The 14103-nt window shown below is 37.8% G+C and overlaps 1 protein-coding gene across 3 annotated transcripts in view, besides 1 other annotated feature; it reads right to left on the bottom strand.

Annotated features, from left to right (window-relative positions):
- The window catches only part of IL1RAPL1 (interleukin 1 receptor accessory protein like 1), a 1369273-nt gene that overhangs the window by 466014 nt on the left and 889156 nt on the right, over positions 1-14103 (bottom strand). The gene's annotated exons all lie outside the window — the stretch shown is intronic.
- Positions 11757-11916: a silencer, noted in NCBI's record as "silent region_20722". NCBI's record gives its function as "represses an Ori minimal core promoter by ATAC-STARR-seq in GM12878 lymphoblastoid cells {active_cell/tissue: GM12878}" and the evidence as "EXISTENCE:reporter gene assay evidence [ECO:0000049][PMID:35858748]".

Here is a 14103-nt window from a genome sequence, read left to right as displayed (position 1 = left end):
CAATATATTATAGAATAATAAAAGAAAAAGGTTAGAAAAGAAACAAAAATAAGGAAGAACAATGTCTTTCCTATTTTGTAGCTTGAAATACAAAATCACAGTAGGTACATTATTCAAAGTATTTGGTGAGCGACTTCCATTTTTGTCAAATTATCTTTTTTTGTTTTTGTTTTTGAGACGGTCTCCCTCTGTCACCCAGGTTGGAGTGCAGTGGCACAATCTCGGCTCACTGTAACCTCTGCCTCCCCAGTTCAAGGGATTCTCCTGTATCAGCCACCCATGTAGCTGGGATTACTGGCATGTGTCACCACACATGACTAATTTTTGTATTTTTTTGTAGACACGGGGTTTTGCCATGTTGCCTGGGCTGGTCTTGAACTCCTGGCCTCAAGTGATCCGCCCACCTCGGCCTCCCAAAGTGCTGGGATTACAGGTGTGAGCCACTGCCCCGTGCCCAGTCTCAAATTACCTTTTTATGGCTTTTTTTTTAAATTTTAATTTTATTTTAATATATTGACCATGTATTCATGCATTTATTCAATAATTTTTATAGAGTTCCTATGTACCATGCTGCCTGGAATTGTCACAGACATTAAAGATACAATAATAAAATGAGAAGTGTCCTACCCTCTTGAAATTGAGAGTCAGAAAAACTGTTAAACAAGGATGAAACCACCACATGGTATCAGAGATTAATAAGTCCTATGTAGAAAATTAAATAAGGTGATCTTTGAACTTCTTTAACTGTGTTGGTCACAGAAGTTAGCTCTAAAAAGGTAATAATTAGGCTGAGACCTAAATCCCCTCAAATGCCATTCTGCTAGCTGTACAGACCTTTAAAGAAGTAATTTTTATATAAGAAACCATTGGCCTAATGAAAGCATCTCCTTGTATTGCATAGTATTAAGCCTATACTAGTAACTATCTGCACGACCATTAGTTTGCATACTATTTTAACTATAAGATGTTGGTGGCAGATATCACAATAAAAATTTATCAGAGGAAATTTAAATAATAGAAAATAAATCCCCTTATAAAGAACATTATAATGATGTAATTCGGTGGATTACTAATTAAAACAAAACTATACATTTTTATAAGAAACTACTCTTTGAAGAAAAAATGTATTACTTGTACACTGGGTTAAAATGAAGAAAACATCACATTTGTCATTCTGTAAAATCATTAAAGATGAATTAATGGAAATCTAATAAAACTTTTAATAATTTTTGTGTATGACATTTTTAAAATCATTTTTTGTTTAGCTTAGCATCTTATAATTAACCAAACATTACATGTAGTAAAATATTCATTAATACTTGTCTTGTATTCCGTTTCTCCTTTTACCCCCTTGCCTTTCTTCTTATCTCCAGCTTTACCAAAATGTAATGGACAAAAATTGTATAATGTACAGTGTACAATGTAATGTTTTGAAGTATGTATTGTCAAATTATGCCCCAACATATAGATAAAATAAACCCCCTGTGGCTGAGATGCTCAAGTTAAAGCAGAACTGGGAGGCCACAGCAAGATGAGGAGGTAGTCACATACACTGTGTTCTCAAAAAATGTTGCAGAAATGTCACGAGACTCCCCTTTCTGCAATCAAGCTAAACCAGTTCCTGTTATCAATCTCAAAATAGACTACAGCTGGAAAATCCTCATGTGACCAACCACTGACCACCTAGAGTCAGAAAACAAAGAGAGATTTGTGGTTTTAGGCTTAAATGTCATCTAATCAAGACTCTGATCCCTCTCCCCAGTCTTGCAGTTTTTGCCATTATAATCTTTAACTCTCCAGTGTCTCCTTGGAGCACACTTTTGCTCTGTCCCAAAGGGGCGTCTCCCCCACCTACAAATTTCTTTAGGAAAGTAAAGCTCTCCTTTTTGCCCCTGCAAATTTCATGATCTTTTGTTAACAGTATGCATTGTGAAATAATGACCACAATCAAGCCAATTATATATGCACCACCTCTCATAGTTATATGTGCACCACCTCTCATAGTTATATATGCACCACCTCTCATAGTTATATATGCACCACCTCTCATAGTTATATGTGCACCACCTCTCATAGTTATATATGCACCACCTCTCATAGTTACATATGCACCACCTCTCATAGTTATGTTTGTGGTGAGAACATTTAAGATCTGTCTTGTCAATTTTCCAATACACAACACATTATTATTAACTATAGTCACCATGCTGCACAATAGATCTGCAGAATTTATTTATTGGCTTCTGTTTTTTTGTTGTTGTTGTTGTTGAGATGGAGTCTTGCTCTGTCACCAGACTGGAGTGCAGTAGCATGATCTCAGCTCACTGCAACCTCTGCCTCCTGGGTTCAAGTGATTCTCCTGCCTCAGCCTCCCGAGTAGCTGGGACTACAGGCGCACGCCCCCACACCCGGCTAATTTTTGTATTTTTAGTAGAGACGGGGTTTCACCATGTTCGCCAGGATGGTCTTGATCTCCTGACCTCATGATCCGCCCGCCTCAGCCTCCCAAAGTGCTGGGATTACAGGCGTGAGCCACCATGCTCCGCCAGCTTCTGTTGTTTCTATGTGTGCATGTATCAGTAAGGCCTATACTCTGATGTATGGAGGTGAGCTATGTGATCTGTAGTGTCCTTCCTTGTTGAATTGTGAAATAAAGACACAGGCTTAGGAAAGGACTTGGTTCTGATCTATATACCCCTGTGAAAAAAACTGAGAAGCCCTTAGGAAGACTAAAGATGAAAAGGGGAACAAAGAATAATGAGTAAAGGGACATAAGAGAAGAAAGATACCAGAAGATGATTACACAATACTCAGTATGAGATGTGAAGGTCACGTCCTGCAGAAGAGAACTAGCCAAGGAATGATGGGTATGGAAATCCAGCCCATGCCCCACTCAATGAGCTACATCTACCCAGGAGATTGGATTTTTTATGCCTTTTTCAACTACTGTAGCAAACCATTAGGCTGAATAGATTGGATTTTCTCCTTCAAACATCACATCGGGGTGTTCTTCAGCATTCTGTTGCTAAACCACAACATGCTAGATTATTTTTACCCAAATAAAAGCATAACTGTAGTGGTTATAGTGGTAACCAATTCAGTTTTTTAATAGTCCTCAGCACAGGACTATTACGGTTGCAAACAGCTTGTATCATATTGACCAGTGCATTTCTGTGACTACATTAATCAATAGCATGCACGCCCATCTTCTTTTCTCTCCTCATGAGCAACACTTGTACATATCTGATCCAATACACTTAAGAATAAGATTCCCATTGACTGATTCATTTAATCTGGCAAGAACAGCACACTCACAGGCCAGTTCAAAAAGAAGAGTGAAAGGAATTGTAGAGATGAAAGAAGGTTGGGGGAGGCAATTTATGATATGAACACTGACAACAAAACTCAACAAAACAATTGCTCATAGTTAGAGAATTATAACTGGATATGAGTATATATAAAATATGCTCTATTATATGTAAGCAAGAAAGAGGAGGTACAGATCATATGTGAGCTACAGGGCAAAGGCAATCAGGGTTAAAAGAACAGAAAAATGTTCAGGGCAGACTCGTGAATGTTATCATAGGCAGGATTCATTAATCACACTGGCATCTGCAAAATAACAGGCCTAATTATTGTGTATGTTTTAGCCCCTCGCTACTCAAAAGTGTGGTCTACGAATCAGCATTGTTGCCATCACCTGGGAGCTTGTTGGAAAGGCAGACTGTCAGCCCTCACCCTAGACTTACTGAATCACAATTTGTTGTTGTGATTCAGTATTGTTTAACAAGATCCCCAAGAGTTTCATGTGTACATTAAAGTCTGAGGAGCACAGCTTTGGAGTTTCAGAACTATCATCATAGATACTCCCTTTTTCTAAAAATTTCATGAGATTATTTTCCATAGGCTGTCCCCAGTGTATCTCATTAGCACTTTTTCAGCTGACACCACAAACAAATAAAAAGCTGCAGTCCCTGTGATGTCTGAGAACTTCTGAACTTCTGATCACTTATCCATAATTACACATCAGAGCAGAGCTGCATCCCACCCTCAGATAGACCACGAGCTTTTTTTTTTTTTTTTTTTTTTTTTGTATAGCACTTGAGAATTCTCAAGTGCCTACTCTCACACTCATTTGTTCATCTCAACAATAGTCCAATGGGAATAGAGAGGTTACAATTTCCCCTTTTATGTATTTTTCAATGAGGAAAGAGACATAGTGTCATGCTGAAGGGCAGAAGTGGCAGTTATATAGTCAGTGAAGGTAACTCAGGTGTTTAGATTAGTCCTTTGGGCACTATTTTGGGGAGATTCGAATTTCTCCTAAAAAGTAAATCCCTTGAGAGTGGTAAAATACTGATCTTCTAATTCTATGGCAATGATTTTTAACACTGAGGAGCCCACAGGAAAACAAACAAACACAAACGAACAACACACTAATGCCATGGTCCCATCCTGCAGATTGGAATATAGTTGAGACCAACTATATTGGAATGGAACCTGGGATCTACAAGCTTTCCAGGGCATTCTCATATGCAGACAGACTTGAGAATGACTGATTTATTGCAACAGGTCGGTATTGCTGATGTCAATCCCGAGAAAGAGTAACTCTCTAGGAGCATGCATTAGAATCACCTGCAGGGCTTGTTAAAACAAAGATTCTTGGGCCACATTCCTGGAGCTTCGGGTACAAATAATGCATTTTTAGCAAGGTCCCAAGTGTTGCTGATGCTGGCCTAACGCTGCGCTTCTCAAACTTTAATGTGCCTACAGATTCCATGGGGATCTTGTTAATACTCTTGTTGAGCAGATTTGGGGATGCTGCTGATGCTGCTGGCTCCTGCTCACACTTTGAGTCGCCAGGGCCTGTTCTGCCTAATGAGAACTAAATGCTTGATGACTTCAAAGAAGTGTGATGACATCAAGGAGAAACTTGCTCTAATTCACAATTTTGACAAGAACAGACACTAACCACAAAAATCAAAAAGCGTAAATTGCAAGGGTTAATTGTAAAAAGGCTTTAGGTTAAAAGGAAGTCCTTTCATGCTATTTGTGGTACATATAGCATGAAAGGACTGTGGACACCATGGAGAAAGTGAATCACAGGAAGTTTCAGAGTCCTGTGATAAAGATTTTCACAATTAAGAGTGGGGTTAAAGGAGCACAGTACTTGAAATCACATAGACCCAAGACAGAATCCTCTTTGACACTGACTCAGGCTACCTAGGAGGAAGAATAGTACTACATACCTTGCAGAGGTGTATGAGTCTTAAATGGATTAGTGTTTGTAAAATCCCTAGTGTCCCACCTGGCACACATCAAGCGTTCAAACAAATGCTAGCTATTATTTTCCACTCAGCAAGTATTAACAGACATCTCTTAAGTGAAGTTTTATGTGCTTTGCCAAATGCATCATTCAGTTTCTACTCATTTGGAGATAATAAAACTATAGGCAAAGGATTATTTTTCTTTCATTTCATGATGCATACTGTAATATTTATTATAATAAAGTAAAATACTTCTGCAGCTCATTTTGGTTATTTTTCTAAAGTACACCTAGTATTAGGTAGAATTAAATTTCAGAAATCATTATTTGAACTTTGTCAGAAAAAAATGCTAACAAGATTTTCCCAATATTAAAATAGCTTCAGAATAATAATCTAATTCTTGAATTCAGGAAAACGCTTACACAATGGTTTTTACCTTCAGTTTGTGTTAATCCTTTAGTGATTGTACAGGCATTTATTTTGTAGTGTATCATTTAGGTCTGAGGGTAAGGGTCATCTCTCCAGAGAAGTCTCCTGATTATCCTACTTAATGTTGTTCCTTCCCCCATTGTTTACTCTCTCTTCTTTTATTCCATAACACTAATCTCAACCTGACTGCATATTATTTATTTTGCATTTGCTTTGCGTTCTGTCTTCCCCACTAAAAAGGAAGCATAAGGAAGCCAAAGCCTTATCTAGAATATGCCCATGATATATGTTCCTGCCTCAGGACATTTGCACCTGTCTTTACCTCTGTCACCGATTTCAACATGCACTTTCTCACTTCCTTTAACTCTCTACTCAGATACCAGTTTCTTCCTGGAACACTGTATCTGAAATAACAATAACCATTCTTCCCCTCTGGTACCTCCTACCTCCTTTATTTTGTTGCATCAGTCTTCATGTCACTTATTATGATCTAATATAGTATTTTTTGCTCGTTTATTGTGTGCTATGGTGTGAATGTGTTCCCCAAACTTTATGTGTTGGAAACTTAATTCCCAAATTCATATGTTGATCGTATTTGGAGGCGGGGATTTTGGGAGGTAATTAGGATTAGATAAAGTCAAAAGGGTGAGCCCCCATGATGGGACTGGTGGCTTTATAGGAAGAAGAAAGATCTTGCCCTGTCACCATGTGATACCCTTCGACATATTATCACATAGCAAGATGGCTCTCACCAGATGCCAGCACTATGCTGTTAAAATTCCCATCCTCCAGACTATGAGCTGAATAAACTTTTTTGAAAATAAATTACCCTGTCTGTGGTATTTTGTTATAGTAACAGAAAATGGACTAAGACATTGTGTTTCTTTCTTTCTCCAAGAAAAGCAAGATCCAGTAGGAGAAACAAGTATATTTTATCCCTAGCACCTACAACAGTACCTGTTACAAAGTAGGTGCTCAATGAGTTTTTTTTTTTTTTTTTTTTTAATGGACTACTGGGCCAGGTGCAGTGGCTCACGCCTGCAGTACTATCACTTTGGGAAGCCAAAGCGGGTGGATTGCTCGAGGCCAGGAGTTCAAGAGCAGCCTGGGCAACATGGCAAAACACAGTCTTTACTAAAAAATACAAAAATCAGCCACGTATGGTGGCGTGTGCCTGTAGTCCCAGCTACTCAAGAGGCTGAGGTGGAAGGATGGCTTGAGCCCAGGAGGTAGAGGTTGCAGTGAGCTGAGATCGTGCCACTGCACTCCAGCCTGCTGAGTGACAGAGCCGGGCCCTGTCTTAAAAAAAAAAAAAACTACTACTACTGTAGTACTTTCTGCTAGAGCTCCCAACAATATTACATGCTCATGCTTATGTTATATATCATAAGAATAATTTATTTCTATCTTAGTGTCTATTAGTTATAGCTTCACAGTTGTAGTCTCACTAAGGAAGGTTACTTCCCTCTTATAATTTTAACTTCTGTGTGGTGCCGAATATACTACTGTAATGCAAAGAAACAAACCGCCTAGAAAATAGCATCGCAGAACGTATGACTTTGTCTCTAATATGGTAGCATACGGACATCACCAACATGATATTTTTCACACGGGCTACCTGGGTACCATACTTCCCAGGATAGAGAGTGAAATTAATCCACGTGGAAGGCCATACATTACTTCCTCAAGTTTACTGAAGCCTTTGCCCATTTTAATTCAGTTCAGTAACTCTCCATTCTGAGATCAAGAGGCTTTCTATCATTTTTGGAATGAAATTTCAGACTCTAAACATATGGGCTTCCAAAATATGTCAGTGGAGAACAAGAGGATTTCAATTACAGTGGCTAAAATAGCTCTGAAAACTGCACTATATTTAGGAATATAGTGTTTTATCCCACTGGCATCTTCTAAATTATTCCATTTTCTTCTCAGATATATCAGAAGGAAACAAGATATAATGAAGGATGTTCACTGGAGTTGAATAAAGGAACTGATCTTTTTAACTTTGGCATCAGATAAAAGCCATTATCTTGAGGACAGAGTAAGGCATGTCTTTCTAACGTAAACACAAATACCCTAATATTGTTGCTTAAGATGTGGAAGCTCTTCACTTTAAGACCATTATCTTAGTCTTATCAGAATCGATGGAATAAAATGAGTATTTAAAATATATTACAAGGAATGACCATGTGTTGGTAATTATTGTACCTGGGTGATGGGTACAGGAAGGTTCATTATACTGTATGATCTACCTTTGTATGTTTGGAAAGTCCCGTAATAAAAGTTGAAATGTATTATAAACAAAAAATGGAATGACATAAATGTATGAAAATCAGGAACTATGCTTTATCCACAAAATGAAATTCTATGCAGCTTTTAAAAATCAATAGCATAGATGTGTATTTACTGATGAGGAATGTTTATTCCACATTCTTAAGAAAGCATGTTTTAAAATACTGTTTATCCTATTCTTTGATTTTTCTTTTGAAATGTAATTATTCTATTTAATAAACACTAACTTTGTGCATACTATGTACCAGGAACATTTTAAGTTCTTTAGAAAGCTTAAGTCTAAGTGATTAAATATCCTCATAACAACCCCATGATTAGTAAACACCAGTATCATACCCATATGTATAAGATACAGGGAGGTTAAGAAAATGAATCAAGGTCACACAGCTGGTAAGGGATGGTGGGGGAGAGGATGCTGAGACTTGAACCTGAACAATAGGTCTTGAGAGCTTTGGTCTTCATTAATATGTTATGCTGCCTCTGTGCTAATCACCTGTGTATAATCAGACATATTTACATAAATTGAACAGAAAGATGCCTTGAAGGTTATATTCCAAGTTCATAGTGGTTAATGATGAGTAGAAGGAACATGGATGGTTTTTTAAACTAATTTTCTGTATGTTTATGTGTAATTGTTCCATATCCTTCAGGTATTATAGAATAGGAAAAATTAAAATGCTTTAAAAGTATAATATGAATGTTAACAAATTCTCGGTTGTTTTTTAAAAAGGTGAAGCATATACATATAAATGTTTTCCTTTTCCTCCCTCTTCATTTAATTGTTCCTGTGTCCCAGAAGCCCAGCCTTTTGTGAGTCAATTTGCCTGCAAATATTACTTTGCCATTACTTCCAATGGCAAAAACCTCAATTACATTTGCACCAACCTATAGTTAGAGGCCATGATGTGATAATTTACAAAGATGTTGTGATTTAGTTATCTTCTGTCATGACCATGCAAGTAGACTTCTCACATCAGGGTAGTTGCACTTCTTAAGTGGTGGTTAGTTTCCACGAGGCAGGAAAAACAGGAGCAACCAGGCCATTTAACAGCTCTGCCCACAAAGGGGTGAGGCAGAGTTAAAATGGACTCTCTTTATAACACCACATCCCTCAGAACACCTCTAGATCTCCTCCAGTTCTCTCTTTTGAAGCAGGCTGTGCAAGGCTTATACAACCTAGGGCAGATTCTCCACACCAGCACCTCATTTCAGCTAAGCAGGCAATGGCCGTTGGCTCTCTGAGCTTAGAATACCTTTAGTGCCTTGGTCCTCAAGTGTGAGTCTTTGCCAAAATTCTTGAAACACCCTCTCTGTCACAGAAGTGCATGGATTGCTATTGCCTTGGACTATTAGATGCTACTGCTTTTTTAAAATGACTGAAGGTTTGTTGGCCTATGTGAATACATTTTGAAGGAACCGTAGTGACTAAAGTTATCATACTGATGCAATTAATGCAAAAAGCTTTGGCACATGCCTCCCATTTGTCAATATATCTTCTATACTAAGCCTCAAAGGTTATCATTAATTGACAAATGACTATCATTTTATCTAGTCATTTTAAAGATGTATTCATTTTAGCCAAATGAAGCAGAGAATGTAAAGACAAACTTAAATTATTGGCTGATTTTAGAATATTTTAGTTTGTTATTTATCATTAAACATCTAATAATTCAACAACAACAAAATTTAAAATTGGATTATATATTAAATTGACTGAGTCACCAAGTATAATTTGTATTAAGGATGGATGCTATTAATATTTACTTTTGCAATAAAGAAAACATAACTAAGAAAGCTGCTAGAACAAGTAAAAGATTTTTTTCAAGGTTAAAAATGGCATTTTCATTCAGCCATAAAATGATAGCATGAAAGTATACATAATAGCAAACTATTATGTTAATAACATTAACTATTATGTACTATATAAAAAATCAGCTTGTAAAACAGACTCCATTAGATGAAAAAATGGAAAAAAGGAGATAATAAACATCAAACTAATAAGAGATGTGTAGAGATGATGAGATTGCAACTGATTTTTACTTCTTTGTGTTTACTTTTTACATAAAATATGGATTACCTTTAGTACACATTACCTCTCCCCGCCAAAAATAGGCAGTTCTGAAAAGTTTGAAACTTTCATTACATATATTATTATGGTTGAAACTATATCAATGAAAGGCAAAAGTGCCAACACAAGGATTACATTAAGTGATATAATGAGTGGAATTGTCTTTCTTTTAAAACAATTTTATTCTTTTTAATAAGAATAGGCATAGAAGGATATCAAAAGAGGAGGGGTAGATCAGGCCAAGATGGCACATTCTTTTGGTTATAACCGATGTTGTGAGTCCAAATTCCATTGGTAGTTTGTACATAAATAGATCCATTCAAAGGTATGCATATATATATATATATATATATATATGTATATGTGTGTGTATACATATATCATGCTTCAATTAATAAACTGTCTAATTTATTGCCCCCAAAAGTAAATATTGATATTGACAGTACTAAATGGAGTTTTATGGTCAGAAATATATAGAACAGCAATAAAGCCATTGAATTTGGACAAGAAGTGGTCATCGAACATTTGTTAGGGATTGAGGGAACATACGAGGACAAAGAAAGATTGATTTCTGTGAAGTTGTTGGCTTGAAGCCAAACAAGAGAGGGGTAAAAGTGTCTACCCAAAGGAAAAAAAAAAGTCATTATATGAAAAAGACACATGCATGTGCATGTTTATAGCAGCACAATTCGCAATTGCAAAGATATAGAACCAACTTAAGTGCCCATGGGCCAGCGAGTGAATAAAGAAAATGCGGTATATATACACCATGGAATACTACTTAGCCATAAAAAGGAATGAAATAGTGTCTTTTGCAGCAACTTGGATGGAGCTGGAGGCCATTATTCTAAGTGATGTAACTCAGGAATGGAAAACCAAATACCATATGTTCTCACTTATAGGTGGGAGCTAAGCTATGAGGATGCAAAGACACACAGAGTGATATAATGGACTCTGGGGACTGGGGGGGAACGTTGGGAGGCGGGTGAGGGATAAAAGACTACATTATAGCGTACACTGCGCAGGTGATGGGTGCACTAAAATTTCAGAATTCACCACTATGGAACTAATCCTTGTAACCAAAAAAAACCTGTACCTCTCAAACTATTGAAACTTAAAAATAAATAAATAAATTGCTATAGGTAGTGTCAAATAATCCTCCAAGAAAGTTGTGAAAATTTACTTTCCTATACATTTTGCAACACTTACAATGCTAATTTTTTTTTTTTTTTTTGAGACAGGGTCTCGCTCTGTCACCCAGGCTGGAGTGCAGTGACGCAACCATGACTCACTGCTACCTCTGCCTCCCAGGCTCAAGCGATCCTCCCACTTCAGCCTCCCGAGTAGCTGGGACCACAAGGCACGTGCCACCACACCTGCTAATTATTTTTATTTGTATTTCGTAGAGACATGGTCTCCCTATGTTGCCTAGGCTAGTCTCAAACTCCTGGGCTCAAGTGATTGTCCCACCTTGGCCTCTCCAAGTGCTGGGATTACAGACGTGAGCCACAGAGCCCAGCTGATGCTGAATATTCTTTTGTTCATTTAAAAGATACTACATGCTAAGGGCTAATGCTAGGAATGCATTAGTGAGAGACAGAGAAAAAGAAAAAAAAAAACTTCTGCTTTCAGATATTATAGTCAATGAAGGAGTTTAAGGGGTAAGAAGAGAATAAACAAATTAACAATTTAATATATAAAATATTAAGTAGGATGAAGCAAAATAATGCAGGGAATGGCGGACAGTGAAGGGTGTGAGGACAGGATGCTATCTTCAGGAACAGTCAGTAGGGGGAGCTCTACTCAGGCGGTGACCTGAGACGGGGAGGCAGTGATGTGAACTGCATGGAGCTCTAAGAGAAAGAACACTCCCGGCAGAGAGAAAAAGCAGATGAGAAACCAACTATAAGAAAGATCAAGGCAGTCATCGCAGTGGAGAGAAGGACCTGGGAGAAGAGGGCTGGAAAATGTGATGAGAGAGGCAGGAGTTGGGGCTGAAAGAAGGGGATGGGGTTAAGTCTGCAGAGTCTCCAAGACCACGGTAATAAGGACTCTATATTTACTTTTAGTGAGATGGAAAGACCCTGGGGGTGTTCTGACCAGGGACTAGTGATGATCTGTCTTGAGACATAAAGGAACGACTGGCCGATTGGCTGTTGAACGGAAGACTATAGGAGGGCAAGGGCTGAAGCAGGGGGAGATGTAACAGGGGGACACAGCCATCCAGCCACAGGATGACAGAGGCAAGAGTGGAGGTGCTGAACTACACGGCAGAATTTTGGATAAATTTTGAAAATGGAGCTGAGAGGATTTGCTCATGGGTTCACGTGAGTTGTGAGGAAGACAGGAGTCAAAGAGGGCTCTAAATATTTTTGCCTAAGCAACTAGTTGAATGGAGCTGACGTTTTCTGAAATAGAGAAGTCTGTAAAAGGAGCAGGTGTGAAGGGGAATCAGATGCTCAATTCTGGGTGTGTTAAACTTATGATAACTATTGCATATCCCTGTGGAGATACCAAGCAGACATTGAGTAGGTAATACTAACAAAGTCCTATTTTTACTTTCCTTTTTTGTTTTGCTCTCTTTTCTTTCTGTTTTATTTTTGCTTGTGAGGGTAAAATTATCTTGTTTTAATTTGCATATCTTTAAAGGCTAGTGAGGTTGTTTGGTTATTTTTAACTATTTGTATTTCTTCTGTGAATTACTTGTGGTTTGTTCTTTTGGTTTGCTGCAAGTCTTTATGTATTTTGCATAGATATTTTTCTATTAAATTCAACTTCCTACTCTGCCATCTGTTTTTAAAATTTTGTTTATGATTTTTTTGGTACAGAAGTTTTAAATGTACTGAGCAACATGGCATAGGAACTTTGTAGCCAGACTGCCTGGGTTCACCTACCAGCTGCTCTGCTTACCAGCTTATTGACCCTGGACAGGTCACGTAACTTCTCATAACTACTCAGTATCTCAAGTTTCTCTTCTATAAAATGGGGATAATAATAGTGCATTTACCTCTTTGGGTTTTTATGTTAATATATATAAAGTACTTAAAAGAGTGACTGACATAGAGATGCACTAAAGAAGTGTTAGCTATTGCTGTTTTCAATGTAATCAAATCTTCAGGGTCTACACATACCATTAAATGCCACCTAACCTAGGAATACTTGGAAGATGGAGTGTGCTTACGAGGATATAGAGATGAGGGGCAGAAATGTAAACACAACAAATAGCTGATGACACAAATAGCATTCGCTTTCTCTATTCTTGTCTTCTGAATTGTATAACCTCTCTTATGCCAACTATTGGAGGAGATGGTTAATAATAGCAGCAATAATAATAGTCTTAATAGTAAAAATATCTTGAAAACTTCTGCTATGCCAGACGCTAGGCCAAGCATGCTTCAAACACTGCCTTATATAATATTCACAGAACATCTTAGGAGATGAATCCTATTTTTTCCATTTTCAAATCAAGTCACAGATTTACTGAAAGTACAGCTGATCTATACCATGTAGAGAGCCCATATTTTGTATTAGTTAAGAATATGGGATCGAGACCATCCTGGCTAACAAGGTGAAACCCCGTCTCTACTAAAAATACAAAAAATTAGCCGGGCGCGGTGGCGGGCGCCTGTAGTCCCAGCTACTCGGGAGGCTGAGGCAGGAGAATGGCGTGAACCCGGGAAGCGGAGCTTGCAGTGAGCCGAGATTGCGCCACTGCAGTCCGCAGTCCGGCCTGGGCGACAGAGCGAGACTCCGTCTCAAAAAAAAAAAAAAAAAAAGAATATGGGTAAAAAGTAAATGAGTCACTGTATTTAAAGTGCCTAGAACAATGTGTGGCACATAGGAAGTGCTATATAAATGAAAGCTATTATTGGTTTGTTTTTTCGAGTATTTTTGAGTGCCTGCTATGTTTCAGGTAACGTGTTAAGTTCAGGGATGCAGTTTAATACTGCCCTTGCCCTCTTGGAATGTATAATGGGCTGTACAAATCAGTTAATATTAAGGCATCAAATACTTTGAATAAAATAATATTTTGGGACTTGTCATTTG

Source organism: Homo sapiens, chromosome X, assembly GCF_000001405.40.
Source record: "Homo sapiens chromosome X, GRCh38.p14 Primary Assembly".
NCBI lineage: Eukaryota > Metazoa > Chordata > Mammalia > Primates > Hominidae > Homo > Homo sapiens.
This window is presented reverse-complemented; position numbering and strand designations above follow the sequence as displayed.